Source organism: Homo sapiens, chromosome 16 (genome assembly GCF_000001405.40).
Source record: "Homo sapiens chromosome 16, GRCh38.p14 Primary Assembly".
Taxonomy (NCBI): domain Eukaryota; kingdom Metazoa; phylum Chordata; class Mammalia; order Primates; family Hominidae; genus Homo; species Homo sapiens.
Genome location: NC_000016.10, coordinates 80,142,043 through 80,158,568, shown reverse-complemented (window position 1 = coordinate 80,158,568; position 16,526 = coordinate 80,142,043). Strand labels below are relative to the sequence as shown.

At 43.3% G+C, this 16,526-nt stretch overlaps 2 long non-coding RNA genes across 3 annotated transcripts in view; one reads left to right on the top strand and one right to left on the bottom strand.

Annotated features, from left to right (window-relative positions):
- Positions 1 to 2,611, top strand: part of DYNLRB2-AS1 (DYNLRB2 antisense RNA 1) — a 407,178-nt gene extending 404,567 nt beyond the window's left edge. Inside the window, exons 5-6 of the long non-coding RNA NR_120307.1 lie at positions 887 to 955; positions 2,562 to 2,611. This is a non-coding gene — a long non-coding RNA (DYNLRB2 antisense RNA 1). The remainder of the gene's footprint in view (positions 1 to 886; positions 956 to 2,561) is intronic.
- LOC105371357 (uncharacterized) overlaps positions 1 to 16,526 on the bottom strand; it is a 117,137-nt gene that overhangs the window by 9,919 nt on the left and 90,692 nt on the right. Inside the window, exon 3 of one of the 2 annotated variants that reach the window (XR_001752272.2) lies at positions 2,280 to 2,344. The exons of the other annotated variant lie outside the window; for it this stretch is intronic. This is a non-coding gene — a long non-coding RNA (uncharacterized LOC105371357). Of the gene's footprint in view, positions 1 to 2,279; positions 2,345 to 16,526 lie in introns of those variants that run through there. 2 annotated transcript variants of the gene reach the window in all.

Sequence of the window (16,526 nt, the reverse complement as noted above, 5' to 3'; positions counted from 1 at the left end):
AGGGGTCACACTTTCCCCCTCTGTCACTGAGAGAAGCAAATAGATTCAAATGCAGCAAACATCTGATGAGCACCTACTCTTTGCCAGGAACCTTCAGAAGCTGTGTGCTCTTTAACCTACTTATTTCCAAAAAGCACACCTAATGGATGTTGTACCCAATTTACAGATAGGGAAAATGAGGCTCAGAGAGGTGAGGGAACTTACCCAAAGTCACTAGCTTATGAGAAGCAGAGCTAAGACTCAGTGTTGAGTCACATTCCAAGAGCAGTAGGGTTCGCTTCTTTTCTGTACCATGGTGTTTCCCTATAGGGTTTCTGGTGGCTTTGTGACTCTTTCAGGGCTATGTCCCTGGCTAAGGAGAGTTCTGCAGAGACCTGGTCTGTGCTAGAGAGAAGTGGTTTGGAGCCAGCTTGCAGTGAGGAAGTAAGACAAAGCTGTGGGGGGGCTCTGGAGCACAGGGAAGCAGAGGGGCTGTGAGCAAATGAAGCATCATCCAACCATGTGTGCTGTGTGTGGGTGGCTGCACCAAGACAGGCCTGGCTCAGTCCCTGTCTCCATTACTTACTGTCATGGTTGAATAGTGTCCTCCCCAAATTCATGTTTACCTAGAATCCCAGAAGGTAAGCTTGTTTGGAAAGAGGGCCTTTGTAGGCAGTCAGTTAAGAATCTCAGCTAAGAATCTCAAGATGAAATTATCCCACATGAAGGTGGGCCCAAATTCTATGGCTGGCATCCTTAAAAGAAGAAGAGAAGATACAGAAGATACAGGGACGCAGAGAGAAGCCACGTGAGGAGGGAGGAGCAGATAGGGTGACGCACCTGCAAGCCAAGGGAACGCGGAGGAGTGCCAGCAGCCATAGGAGCTAAGGGACAATTTCTTCTTTAGGGTCCCAGAAGGAACCAACGCTGCCCACACCTTAATTTGAGACTTCTGGCCTCTGAGAAATGAGAAAGAGTAAGTTTCTATTGCTTTAAGCCACCCGGTTTGTGGTGATTTGTTATGGCAGGCACAAGAAACTAACACACTTGCTGACTATGTCCTCTGGGAGAAACCACTAAGCTCTCTGAGCCTGGGTTTCAACACATGGAAAACAGGCCTAATGAATGGGAAAGACCTTTAGGGATCCTGAAGATGATAAATAAAGCATGCAAAGAACCTACATATATTGGGTGGTTATTACTTTTATGACCCCACTGTCCCTCCTGAGAGGACCCTCTCTGGAACCTGTGAACACCGAGCCCTGTCAGTCCAGCTTTCAAAGGCAATGCACATCAGCCTAAGTTCTGTGTTCCTGGCATTTCAAGGTGGCTTCTAGCCTCAGCACACCCCGTTGCTTTTAGTTGCAAGCACGTACTGTCAAAGTCTCATATCCCCCTTAGAACCATAAACGCTCTAATAGCAGTAACGGGCAGCCTCGATCATGGCTAAACGTGATTATGTTCCACATAAAAATATAAAAGCTCATTTGAGCCAGGGCTCCCTGTGGGCCCTTTGCCTGCACTTTTATTGAAAAGCCCACATTCCTGACTCTGTGAGCCCTGATGTAAGAGCCCAGGGAGGCCATATACCATGGACCACTGTAAAGTTCCAGGGCAGCCTGAGGAGCTGGGCTCTACTGGAAATCTCTGTCTCTCCTGTGGTCTGTGATCCAGAGCCCCACACTTGATTCCCTGGTAACTCCTATGCTTGGAGTTCCTCATATATGCTAGCCATGCCTCTTGCTTTGCTCCCTGAGAGACTGGAAGGCCATGGAATCAGGGAGCTGCTCTGTTTCCTCCCCTGCTACATCCTCAAGGCCCAGCTCAGTGTCAGGTGCAGGAATGGACCGACCTCAGGGGATATGGATCTCTTTTCCTTCCCTACCCTAGGCCTGGTCTCTCAATCCTGCTGCATTCTCCCCTGCCCACTCTGAGTCTTGCCTTTTAGCCCCACACCATAACTCAAGATCCAGTCACAATTAAACCTCTCTCTCCACCCTTCCGTGGTCTGTGCCATTCACCTCTTGGTTTTCACTCATACCTGTCCCATTGCTGGGAACACTGTCCTGGTCTCCTATGCTAATACTTGCATGTTCCATAGGTGTCAGCACAGATATCACTTTTATTACTAGATGCTTTCTGGTGCCTAAGTTAGGCCGGGTTCTCTCTCCTATGGCCCAGCTGTGCCTCCTGAATCACCCTGACCCACCATACCTTCCCACTTGTTGACTTCTCTGGACACTTCTCTAGACTTTAAGCACCATGATGTCCCAGACAAGGCCTTCTTCCTTCTTTGCCCAGTGCTGGCAGAGTCTCTGACTCATGGTAGTCCTTGATATATATTGCGTGGCGATGAACTGACATACTGCAGAGAGAAGAACAGGTCTCCAAAGAGGCAGACACAAAGGGGAAGGAAGGAGAGGAGGGAGACAGAATGCTCTGTCAATAAATACAGTAAAATGTGATTCTGCAAGCATTGTCTCATTTAATCCTTGCAACAAGCACATGAGAAAGCTAATATTCTCTCCCTCTGTTTTCCCTTTTTTTTTCTTCCTTCCCTCCCCTTCCCCTCCCCTCTCCAGGTCTCACTCTCTGTCGCCCAGCCTGGAGTGCAGTGGCATCATCTGAGCTCACTACAACCTCCGCCTCCCGGGTTCAAGCGATTCTCCTGCCTCAGCCTCCTGAGTAGCTGGGACTACAGGCACGCGCCACCACGCCCAGCTAATTTTCGTATTTTTAATAGACATGGGGTTTCACCATGTTGGCCAGGCTGCTCTTGAACTGCTAACCTCAAGTGATCCACCAGCGTTGGCCTCTCAAAGTACTAGGATTACAGTGCTAGGAGCCACCATGCCCGGCCGCCTCTCTTTTCTTTTACACATGAAGAAAAAGTGGTCAGAGAAGTTAACTTGGTCAGTGCCAAAAGCACTGGAAGTGAGTAGGACCAAGCTTTTCATCTAGATTTGTTTGTTAGACTCTAAATCCAAATTCACAACAAGATCAGAATATGAGAAACCTAAGGAACAAAATTCTAGGAATCATTTCTAGAAACTGTGGCTATTGAAAAAGCACAGACCTAGGGAATCAAATTATTTTCCCTGCCACCAGCACATGGGTAGGCCTGTGACAAATTCCATGCTCTGGACCCCAGATTCCTCAGTGAGAATAGAAGGGGCTAGAGACATCAGGGAATTGGATTTGGTGACTTTAATACCCACTCAGCTCCAAAGCATTCTTGAATGATGCACGATTTATGAATATATATATTGAAATTTACTGATGGGTGAACAGCTCTCAACATGAGATTTTTGTTGTATGCCTTAAAAAAGATTATACATAAATATGCGTGTGTGTGTGTATGTATGTTTCGATGTATATGAACCCATGATCTGAAAAATGGCCACTGTGGCTTGTGGAAACCTATTAATCTCTGCTGTTCCACCCAACATCCTCAGAGAAAAAAATAAACAACTTTTTGAAAGTGCTGCCATGGGGTCAGACCAAATACTGTGGCCACTTCCAAGGGGTTTGCCTTGATTTGCCTGGATTCCTGTTCATGTGACATCTGCCTTCTAATTCAAGGATATGATCAATTCAATGTGTGAGTTATCAATCAAGGACTGGCAACAGTGATGCTGAACAAGCCTGGTGGAAGGAAAGAGAAGGCAGGCCAGAGCCCAGACAGACGCATTCACAAACCTTACAAAGAGGACAGGCTAATTAGGGGCTGTAGTTCTCCCTCTCTTTATAGTTGGTATAAGAGGAGTGGTAATCGTAGTGTCCAAAAATATATGGGCTACATAGTTGCTTAGTAAGCTGTGGGTATGTGGTTTCTTCTGCAAGGTGCTTTCTTTCTGATAAAGAGATTACGTTGTTTGTTTGTTCATTTATTGAACATATTTACACTTACACACACACACACACACACACACAATGTTCCAGATACCGTACTTGGCAATGGTAGTTAGACCTTGCTCTTGCAAAATTTATAATGAAGTTGGGAAGTGTGGTTTGATCCCTCAAAGTGTCCAAATCCTAATCCCCAGAACTTGTATTTTCTTACATGACAAAAAAAAATTTTCAGATATGAAGAACTTTGAGATGAGGAGCTTAACCTGGATTATGCAGGTGGATACAATCAATCACAAGGGTCTTTGACAAAAGAGGTGGGCAGAAAGGTCAGGAGGCTTTGGCTATGGGGAAGGGGCTGCAAGCCAAATAATTCAGGTGGCCTCCAGAAGCTGGGAAATGTAAGCAAACAGATTCTCCCCTAGAGCCTCCAGAAGAAATACAGTCCTATGGGTCCATTTCAGACTCTTCACTTCCACAACTGTAGGAAAATAAACTTGTGTTATTTTAAGCCACTAAGTTTGTGATACCTTGTTACGTAGCAATCAGAAACAAATAGAGGCAGAATGGCTTTAATCAGAAAACTAAAAGACTAAATACATAATTTCACAATGTGGCCCTGGAGTGATAGGAAGGAGAAGAGGATGGTATGAGCAGGTCCAGGAGAGATGATGAAAATCATTGGTTGGAGAAGGCTTCCCTGAAGGAGAAGGATACTGATGTGTGGGCTGAGGCACATGCAGGAGAAAATTCCACAGAGAGTATATTCTGAGTGACGGCCCCAAGCAGGAAAGGAACATGGCATGGTTTCGAAAGTAGAGGGAGGGCAGAGGGCTTGGTCCACAGATGCTGAGGTGGAGATGGTGCATACTCATCCTAGAACATGTCCGTGGGAGATTAATCACAGCCTTTGCAAGCTGGCGTAGAGACTTGGGTTCTTAACCAAAGAGAAATGGGAATATTTTGAATCGTGTTGCACTGTAGTGAGACTTTGTCAGATTTATACTTTGGAACTGTGTGTCCAGTTTAGTAGCCATTTGCTATGTGTGGCTCTGTCCCTTTAAATGGCTAAAAACGTGCTAATTTAAAATGTTAGCTATTCAGTCCCACTAGCTGCATTTCAAACACTCAATAAGCACACGTGGCTCATGGCTGCCACACAGGATAGTAGGGTCTAGAAAACTCCTTGCACTGCAGAAAGTGGAGTAGACGGTGCTGCTTCAGAAGAAACACCTGACCGCAGGGCGGAGTGTGGACCAGATAGCGGTAAGAATGGATGTGGGACAGCATCTGGGAAGGAGCTTCCCAATATTCCAGGTGGGTTGATACTGGTTCAACCAAAGATGGCGGTAGTGGGTATGAACATCAGTGGACAGATTTGAAGTCAGTTTAGCAGGTGGTCATGGATTCTGTTTTCAGATATTGGCAAGTTGCTGCCCTGCTTTGGTCCTTCATTAGATTAGAAGTGTTATCTAAAAGGAGCTTCTCAAGTTCTCAGAGCCTCAATTTTTTCACCTGTGAATGGAAATAATCCGTATTTCAAAAACAATATGGTGATATAAAATCCCTGGAATAATGGGTGTTGAATAAAGGGCACATCTCATATCTTTTACACATTTCTAACTTAAAGTGGTCTCCTGGATGCTGTTAAGAGGGAGGTGACCCAGGTGGGAACCAGTCCCCGCACCCCAGTGGTGGGTGCAAGGGAGCTTGAAAATGCATTTGGATAGCTATTTCCTTTTTTTTTTTTTTTTTTTTTTTTTTTTTTGAGACAGAGTCTCGCTTTGTTGCCCAGGCTGGAGTGCAGTGGAGCAATCTCAGCTCATTTCAAGCTCTGCCTTCCGGGTTCACGCCGTTCTCCTGCCTCAACCTCCAGAGTAGCTGGGACTACAGGCACCCGCTACCACGCCCAGCTGATTTTTTTTTTATTTTTTATTTTTTGTATTTTTAGTAGAGACGGGGTTTCACTGTGTTAGCCAGGATGGTCTCAATCTCCTAACCTTGTGATCTGCCTGCCTCGGCCTCCCAAAGTGCTGGGATTACAGGCGTGAGTCATCGCGCCTGGCCTTAAATAGTAAGTCACTGTGGAATAATAAACAGCTGCTGACCAGGTGGGCCCTTGCTTTCCAAAGCAGACATTGATCAGAATGTCTCTCACTCAGCTGGACAAGCCCTTGACTTTGGTGTGAAGGTCCTGGGGAAAAGTGCAGAGGGAAGGAGCCATATGCAGAAAATAAGCAATTCTCTTCCCAACATGACAGCAGGGCGCCCAAATGGAGTTATTTTGTAGTCAGACTGCCACGTAGGACCACACTAGGAGAGCGAGCTTGGGGGAGGCAAGGAGGAGAACGTGCCATCCGTGTAGAGAAGATAATTGAATCCATGGGAGGCCGACTGGGGCTCATTTCACAGGGAGCCGCACAAAAGTGCATGGCTCATTCCAAGACAATGCAGGCCTTCAAAGAGACCTGCTAAGGGGAGCGCATTACTATATTAAGGGCACAACATACCCTAAGTGAGACACACTGTTATGCCTCTTCTTCCCAGTCACAGCCTGGAAATAGCCATAAAAGAAATGAAGTATATTTGCCTTGTTAACACAGTTTGTATTACATATTCATAAACCATTTTGTGAAACTGCAAGGGAAAGATTCAATTGTCTTGGAAGCTGATAATGGCCAAACAGCCACACAGAAAGCAGGAAGCATGTTATGGAATTAGCTGCACAATGAATGAAACACAACGCCTATAATAAACCCATTCAGATATAAATTATGGCAGGGTAGATGCAATGTTTGTTAAGCAATAAAGCTTGCCACCCTACACGGGAAACTGAATGAGATTTATCATAAAATATGGTGGAGAATGTGCTAAGAATCTGGCTTCTCAAACTGGGCTTAATCAAAACAATCTAGAGAGCAGTTTTCCAGGAACAGGAAACCAAAAGAAAACGATAACACTGGGTCCTAAGGGCATTTTGACATTGTGACCCTAAATACCCTTGCTTGCAAGAAATTCCACAGAGGACATTTATAATTTTGAAAAAGTTTTGTTTTGATTTTTCCTTGGAGAATTACCAAAAACTCTTGAGCTCTGGAAATACAAAATTTGACCAATAATTGGCTTCCTGGTTAGATAGGGAAGTAATTCAAGGACAGGGAACTTGTCCAAGTGACACTGGGCTCTTGGTTTCCCTTGGAAATGGTTGAGGTTGTTGATTCCCAGTGAGGCAACTGGGTCTCAGAATGCACTGTGAGATATATGACTGGGTCCCAGAAGGATGTGCGACTTATTTTCTCAGAAGACCTCCTTGAATCTTCCGCACACACTGCTAAATGAATAGAAGGGTACTTTGTGTATTATCTTCTAAAGCTGGGAGCTTGAGTTTATCTCAGACTCCACTTTCTGGGAAAAATAAAATGGAACCAAATAAAACAAAACAAGAATTAACCCAGCATGATGTAGGCTTTCTGGTATTGTTACTTGAAAAGAACTGCAAATATTTTATGGCTTTACAAGTTGAAGTCAATGTTTTTAGTGTATTGAGAACAATGAAAAATACCTTAGGAATGTATTATAGTCCCAGAGTTGGATTAAGAGTGTTCGGAAGCCAAAAGGAATTTTCTGCCTGCTAATAACATTACCCTGCAATCTAATGAAATAATCTCCCTAAAGCCAGGTTTATGGAATAAGCTGATTTCCCATTTGTGGTTAAAAATAAGAATAACAAATGTCCTCTTTGGTCAACTTGCCACTCAGTCCATATACTGTAAAACTATGCTTTGGAAATAGCAAAATTGTATGACTTAATGGGTCAATTATGACATTTTAGAGATACAGATTATTACTGACCTGCAGTGAAGTAACCAGAGAATTTAAATTGGCAAAAAGCTCCAACACATGGAGTTGTTACTGGCAAATTCAGCTGTGTCATCTTCACTGTATTCATAGATGGTGTGTGTGTATACATACCCACACATGTGTACATGCATATGCATATGTAAGAATCCACTAGAAAAACTAGGCATTAACAAAAGATTGGAAAATAGAAATACATAAGATTCTACATGTTTATATGTTTTAGAGATGAGATCTCACTATGTTGCCCAGGCTGGGGTGCAGTGACTATTCACAGGCATGATCGATGCGTACTACAGCCTCAAACTCTGCTCCTCAAGTGATCCTCCCACCTCAGCGTCCCAAATAGCTCTTGCCACAGCATCCAGCTCAAGATTCTATAACATTAACAGCAAAAAAATCTCTACTTCCCTCTCCTCAATGAAACTCATTCTCCATACTCTTTTTCCTAGTTAAGATGCAAAAATTGCCAAGTATTTGGAAAGGTAATCATAGTAACAGAGTGCTGAAATAAAACAAAGACAAAAGTGTCCCTCAATATCCTGTCTGGGAGCATAGCACCAACTGCCTGCCTTTATATGGCTGTTTATTTCTTCCTTGCTATCATCTCATTTACTTCTTATGAATATTTCTGCAGAGCAGGAATCACTGTAGCCACTTTACATATTAGGGCATAGAGGAAACTCATGTATCATTAAGAGGGAAACAAAGAAACAGCAAAAACCAAAACGCCTTCAGCTGCAAGAAACAGACACCTGAACTTAAAGTGATAAAGCACATGGGGGTTTACTTGTCCTATATAACAAGGAAGTCTAGTGGTAAGCCTTCCAGAACTTTCTGAATACACGATGCCAATAAATAACTACACCCTTTTTCTCTTTCCGCACCACCACCCTGTAGACTTTTCAGGACGAAAAAGGATGAAGGACAAGAGGACGAATAGCCACACTGCAGAGATCGTCCCTTTATGTCACCAAAACCAAAGCCTCCCCAGAAGCCCATCCTGCAGACTTTTCCACATTCGTTTCATTGATCAGAGGTTGCTGCTTGGCCAACTGTAACTGAGGAGTGGCCACAGAGAAGGGACTTAGGAAGGGGTCAGGTCAGCCAACCTATAGCACCTAACACACTCAGAAATCTTTAAATACTTGCACAAGTTTGTATCTTTTAAAAGAAGAACAGGGACTTGTAGACTTAGCTTTCAAAGCTGGTGTTCTTTTCATTATGCCTAGCTATCTGCATTGTTATATCAACATTTCTTTCTTTTGGCTCAAAATTATACCTATCAGTTATATCTTTGTTAAAGCAAAGAAGTTCAGAAACGAATATTATGCATGAATTAAATGTAAGTGTGAATTTGCCAAATTGGTACTTTATACATAATAGAAATCTCACTGAACTTGATGGGAAATGGACAGATGCACCCACTGAAGATATCCAAGTCCTGGTTTATGAATCTGAATTAGTTTAATCAATTTGGATAATTTACAGTAATTTCTGAGCCATTTGGTTTTTATGGAGAGACTAGGTGAGGCAGCTGTTAAGCCTGCTTTTTAGAGCCTTCTAAGCACAAGGGGCTCTACTTCCAGTTGAAAACCCTAATGTGCATTATATTTCTCTGGAAGCAAATTTTGGGTCCCATACTCAGATCACCAACACTTCATCCAAAGCTCGGGGCCTCTGTTTAATAGAATTTGGTTGAGGTAGAAACTCTCTCAAAGTTTTATCTATTATATTTCTGTGCAATAAACCACCCTAGAATTTAGTGACTTAAGACAACACCCATGCATTGGCCTGCAGTTCTGCAATTTCAGCAAGGTTGGGTGGAGGCGGGTTGTCTCTATTCCAGGTGATGTTGCTGTGATGTGACTCATTTGTCTGAGTGCTCTGCTGCGGGGAATGTCTGGGGATGGCTGGTTTTCTCTCTCTCTCCACATGGTCTCCCACTCAGGTGTCTAGTCTGAGCTTCTTTACATGACAGCTAGATCCCCAGAGAATGACTGTGGAACCTTCCAGGACTCTAAAGAACTATATTTCAGAATTCACACATCACTCTGCCACATCGCACTGCTCACAGCAAGCACAGGCCCACCTAGATTTCAGAGATGGGGAAACGTACTCCAACTCTATGCAAACTGTGCCGTGCCCTCACAGAGATGGCAGGGATGGTTGGTGGCCATCTGTGCAGACAACTTCTACACCCAGCATTATCTCTGAAGACCATCAATTACCTCAAAGAGTCACCTTGCTTTCCCAGGAACCTATGCATCCGCCACATGGAGCAGTAGTGCCGAGGAGAGAGTTTCAGAGATTCTACATCTCACTCTCCCACTTTATTACTGTCATATCTTGGTCAAGATGCTTAATGTCTTTAGGCTTCAGTGTTAGCACCAGTCGAATAGAGACAGCATCAGTGCCCTCCTCATAGGCTATGAGAAGTATTTTACGGAGTTAATCCATGTTAAACCACTGAGGGTAGTGCCTCCATAGAATTGGGGCTCAATAACCTCGAGTCATACTGCCCTCATCTCTACCCTGAAAGCTTCCAAGGGTGAGACTGATGTCTTCATCTTTGTACCCTGGGGAAAAGACTAGATTATTGCAGGTACTGAGCAAGTATGCAATAAATGAATGAATGATGAACCAGGATATCTTGATCTTTAATTATGAAATTATTTATTTGATGAAGCCAGAGATTTATTTATAAAAATATCAAAATGGTACAGCATATGTTTTATGTGCCATTGGCATGAGCACTTACCCATTCATTCATTGAGCAAATATTTACCGATCATTTATTATGAGCTTGGCAGTCTATTGGGTTCTGGAGATAACAAGTAAATAAGCTATGCATAGTCCCCGTTCTTATGGTCCTTATATTCTAGTGAGAGGAGGAAAAAAAGTAAACTGAAGCACAGAAGATAATGTTTGATGGTAAAATATGTGTTATGAAGGAAATAGTTATATGATAAAGTGCCTGGTGGAACCAGGAGTGGGATGGAGTGCAGCTTGGGTTGGCAAATCAGCTCCTGAAAAGTTGGAATTTCAGCAGAGATCTAAAGAAGAGAAAATGTCAATCACTGACAGCTCTGTGGATAGAGTGTTCCAGAAAGAGAGAGGAGCAAGAACAATGGCTTGTGGTGGAAATAAATGTAGTGGGTTCGAAAAATATGAAGAAGCCCTGAGTGCCTGGATCGTGACGAACAAAAGACAGGGGAGATAGGCAGGGGCTAAATGGTGTGGCCCCTTTAACTGAAATTTTACTCTGAGTGCAATGGAATACAGCGGAAGGGATTTAAACACGACAGTTGAAAATAGCTTCCCTTGTTTGGATTTCATCCTTGGATTGTTTTATTGCTGACAGATGGACCTCCAACACAGCTGTCGTGCCACATCCATGGACGCTGGGAAATCCTGTTCTTTGGAGGTATGTGTGAGTGAGAGGATGTAGTGATGGTGATGGTGAAGGTTGTTGGAGAGGATCCTTTTCTATCAACGTTGGAAATATATTGATCTCCCAGAGCAAAATCCAGATTGTCCAGATTCGTTCTGCACGAAGAATGAAATGATGATACATCATGACAACAACAGCCACTTATTTCAGTCTGACTCTGTGCCAGGCATTTTTAGAGCTTTATAAACATTGTTGTGGTTGATTTTCATAGAATCCCAAGACATCGGTGCTATTGATATCTTCCTTTTACAGATGAGCACACTGAGACTCTGCAAGGTGATGTGCCAGCCCAAGGCTCACCAACAGGGGGGATTTGAATTGAATCCCTGGACCTTATCTCTCCAGGACATTTCAAAATTCTTCTCATCTGCACCTCCTCCCAAGAAACCTCCCCAGACACCTCCCCAGACAGCACAGATAGAAAGGGAAAGAAACTCGGTGCTAAGTTACAAGATGTTCTCTAGAACTTGCGGAAATCATAGGGTGGGAGAACTGTGCTGGTTTTCCAACAATGATCCTAATGAGCAATTTAGCGATGAGCGGTGCACATGTGTTGGGGGCTGAAGCACAGTCTGCCTTCGGCACACATTTGTATCATTGTTTGGTGTCTGTATACAACTTGAGATTTCCAAAATGCTACCCGAGGAAGTGGATGAATGGCATTCCTCCAATTTTATAGATTCGGGGCTGAGACAAGCTAAATGTTGGCCTCAAGTCACACAGAAAGATGATGGAAACTTCAGAGGCCCAAATGGAGAAGTCATATCCCATGCCATCCATCCAAATGTCAAGTGACTTGACTTTCACCTGCGGTCAGTATTTCCAGGATAGGTTTGCTGGGTCATGCTTCATCAATCACTTCTTTCATTTATTCAACAAACATTAAATGCCTCCTAGGTCTCAGACACTCTATTACATGAGGGAGCACAGGGATGCATCAGACAAGGTCCTAGCCATTGAAAAGCTGTCTAGCTGTCTACTGTTTCATTTTTTTTCTTTTCTTTTTTTGAGGTGGAGTCTCGCTCTGTTGCCAGGCTGGAGTGCAGTGGCGCGATCTCAGCTCACTGCAACCTCTGCCTCCCAGGTTCAAGTGATTCTCCTCCCTTAGCCTCCTAAGTCGCTGGGACTACAGGTGTGTGCCACTATGCCCAGCTAATTTTTGTATTTTTAGTAGAGATGGGGTTGCACCATGTTGGCCAGGATGGTCTCGATCTCTTGACCTCGTGATCTGCCCACCTCAGTCTCCCAAGCTTGAGCCACTGTGCCCAGCCTAGTTTTTTTTTATTTTTAATAGAGACAGGGTTTCATTATGTTGGCCAGGCTGTTCTCGAACTCCTGACTTCAGGTGATCCACCCACCTCAGCCTCCCAAAGTGCTGGGATTACAGGGGTGAGCCACCATGCCTGGCCAAGCTGTCTACTGTTTCTACTTGGACCTCTGCCCTCTTTCAATTTCAGTGTGTCCCAACCCAATCCAGTGGTGGTTAAAGATGTGGTTTCTGACATAACACTGCCTGGGTTCAAATCCTGGCTCAGTGTGACCTTGTACTAGTGCTTTAAGTTTTCTGCCCTCCAGTTGCTGCATCTATAAAACTGTGAGATTAATAGTACATAATAGTACATAAATAAAAGAATTGTCATGCAAATAAAATGATATGATGCAGTGTTTCTGTAGTTCTTTGAGGATAAGGATCACCCAGGTCCCTTGTTAAGAATGCAGCTTCCTGGGACACTCCCTTGGAAATTCTGATGCCGTGGCTTTGGGGTCCACGACCTTGTGATTTGTTTTTGTTTTTGCTTTTTTTAAACCAATATTCCAGATGATAGTTTTCACCAGGATAATCTGGAAAACACTAATACAATGCATGGAAAGCAATGATTCTCAACCTTGGCTGCACATTGAAGTTTTAAAGATACAGAAGCCCTTTAAAGATACAGAAGCCTGAGTTACACTAAAAAACTTCTGTTTCAATAGGTCGGGATATAGATTTGGAAGTTTAAGTTCTCCCCAGGTATTTGTAATGTGTAGCCAAGTTTGAGAACTCCTGATAGAACACATTTAGCACAGTGTCTGGCACAAGCAATGTGTAACAAATACATCATCATCATTATCATCTTTATTGTTCCACAAGCAGATAAGAAACATACAATTAGGAAGAAAATTAAGAGGGTCAACACATATGTAAGAATAATGACAAAGGGATGCTAAAATTCTGTGGCATTTAGATTCTCTCATGGTCTCCTAACCTTAAACACTTTTGTGTTTTCCCTTCTTGGTTAAAGCTCTATCAGGAGCAAGATCCTAATTTTTTGTTTTCATTTTTATATGTTCTCTCCAAGATTCACCCAATGCCTTATAATGTAATAGTAAAGGTATTACATAATGATTACGATGTAGATTAAATAAAATAAATGCATTTGTAGAGACATAGCAAGGACAAAATACTACAAGAATGATGAGGAGAAAGATAATTTCAGAGTTGACACTTGAAGAATGGTTTGAATTTTGTTGAGTGGAATGAGGCTATTTTGGCAGGAGAAATGGCTTGAGCAAATTTGGAGAAGATTCTGTTAAGTATGTGCAAAGAAAAAGGGACAATCAAATTTGACTGGAGTGTTGGACATATGAAATATCACAAGGAGATCTGAGCTAAAAGGGTAGGTGGAAGAGGCACAGGGAAACTGAGGCACAGAGCAGCTGTGTCACTTGCTCAAGGCATGCCATGGTTGGTCTGGAATTTGAAGCATGGCTCAGGCAACTCCCACAACCCACAACCTGAAGCTGCTACACCCTACTGTTTCCTTTAGTCTTGAAATATAGGGGGTTATTGAAACGTTCCTAAGCAGAAGCATGACAGCCTCAGACTGACTTTGCAGCATAATCTTCAGGGCAACTGTGAGGAGGAAAGACTACAGAGACCTAGAGATCAAGAGACTGGTTTCTGCTGAGGCCTTTCCTTCTTACACAGTGTGAGTAACATACATGTTTACCACAGACAAAACCAGTGCTGAGGTCAGTATGCAAAGTACACAAACACATCATGCCTTTTAGTTCCCTAGATGGAGGTGGGCCACAGATTTGCATCTTAGTGGTTTGGCAGCTTACACAAAGAAGGGCATAAAGAAAAACAGAATTGTCACTCAAGGGATGTCCAGCCCTCACTGTTACAGATACCAGAAAGCAAATCCCTGCTGAGGTTCTGAAAGTGAGGGCCCCTTGCAAAATGCTGAAAGTTGCTCTCCAGGTTGAAAACAGCAGAGTCCGTAGTACAGCTTCCTGAATGGCCATTAACAAAGGAGGTCTTGCCCATGTGGAGGCTCGATTTTAATGCTTAAGTATCTGCTTTCACGTTCTGGACACTCAAACTTAATATTTGTAAAGCATTTTCCTTTATATATTACTATACATAAACATATAATAATTTTTATAAATTTTTTATAAAACCATACTTTTGCTTCCCAAAAGGAACGGTTGCCTTTATAAAGTTGGCTAAATGATCAGTTTCTACTATATTCCATTTTATTTCCAGTGTTGGAAATCTAAGGCTGGGCTTTTCAATATGTATATTGTAATTTCTTGCTGTCGTATCTTAAGCATGTATAATGAAATGTCAATAGCTGCTGTGGCCTATTAATAGGAATCTTCCTAATGATATATCAAACAGGATAGTAGCAGCTCAGCCTTGCTCCCTTGATGGTTTTAAGTGGCTTTATGCATTCTTTGTACCTTGTTTGTATAGAATCTTAGGTCCTCATGTTTAAAGCTGCCTAAAGTTCATCTAGCCACGATCCTTTTTTCTTCCTTTTCCACCACTTCCCAGTCATAAGATGTTGCAAATTCAGCTTAAACAATGTCACCACCATCCTTGTTGTAGGACAGTGATATCAGGGAGAAAAAGGGGGATGCAAAACCAATAATTGGACAGTAATTAAGCACCTGCTCTGTGTCGGGCACTTTACACTTTACCTGTTTGAATGAGACAACACACTAAATGATATGTAGTAGTCTCCCAGATTAACAAGGAGTGTGAAGTTTATAGAAGCCAAACAGCATGTATTAATGTTTACACAGTTAATAAGTGTCAAAGAAAAAACTCCATTTCAATTCTGACTTCAGTGCCTAGGTTCTGTCCATGGAAATAAATATACATTCCCAAGGATAAACCTGAAAACATAGGTGCAGCAGGTTTCAACTCCAGGTAAAGTGATGTAGGCACATTCCATCCTGTCTCTTCTATTGAATGAAGCTATTGAAGCTCAATATAATGCTTACAGAAGCTGTTTGAAGGCTCTGAAGGTAAACAGTAGCATAGTAGATTGGGAAACAGACCAAAATTCAAAGTACCATTGATCCTGTGGTGAGTTTACTATCTTCTTTCTTCCTCTGTCCTACAGCCTGGACTCAAGGCAGCTCAAAACACAAAAGTGGGCATCCATGAATGCAGAAAGAACTCACAACCATCTAGCTCTGCCTTAAGCAAAGGAAAGGGGACTTCCAATGCTCAAAAACAGTGGGGGAAATCCCTCACTTTGGAAAATTTTTGCTCTCTTGAGCCCCAGCGCCCAGCTGATCATTACATGCTGGTGAGAGTGCAGCATCAGTGATGGCGATGGGAATGCACAAGCTACTAAAACTCTGGTGGAGATGAACCTTCCTTTCTCATTGGTTCTGAGGATATGGCAAGTCCTCGTTGCTTTTTCCCTCCCCTGTCTTCCTGCCAGTTGTTTGTGGATGTAGGTACAGTTGTAGGAATCCTGCAGCAGAGCAACGAAATTAAAGCCCCAGCTGTGTGGTGGGGAACCAAAAAAACGAGCCTCGGAATGGCAGGAAGTACCAGGAAGGGAGGAACTTAAGAAAATACAGAAAACCCCTTATGTTATATATGAACTTCTGGGCTGACTGTTCCACTAAGCATGTCTGTTTCTAATCACAAAGAGCATACCAAAGACTTGAAGAATTGAACAAAGGGAGGGGTGGAGCCAAGATGGCCAAATATGAACAGCTTTAGTCTACAGCTCCCAGTGTGAGTGACGCAGAAGATGGGTGATTTCTGCATTTCCAACTGAGGTACTGGGTTCGTTTCACTGGGGAGTGTCAGACAGTGGGTGCAGGACAGTGGATGCAGCACAGTGAGTGTGAGCCGAAGCAGGGCGAGGCATTGCCTCACCTAGGAAGTGCAAGGGGTCAGGGAATTCCCTTTCCTAGTCAAAGAAAGGGGTGACAGATGGCACCTGGAAAATCAGGTCACTCCCACCCTAATACTGTGCTTTTCCAATGGTCTTAGCAAACAGCACACCAGGAGATTATATCCCGCACCTGGCTTGGAGGGTCCTATGCCCATGGAGCCTCGCTTTGCTAGCACAGCAGTCTGAGATCAAACTGCAAG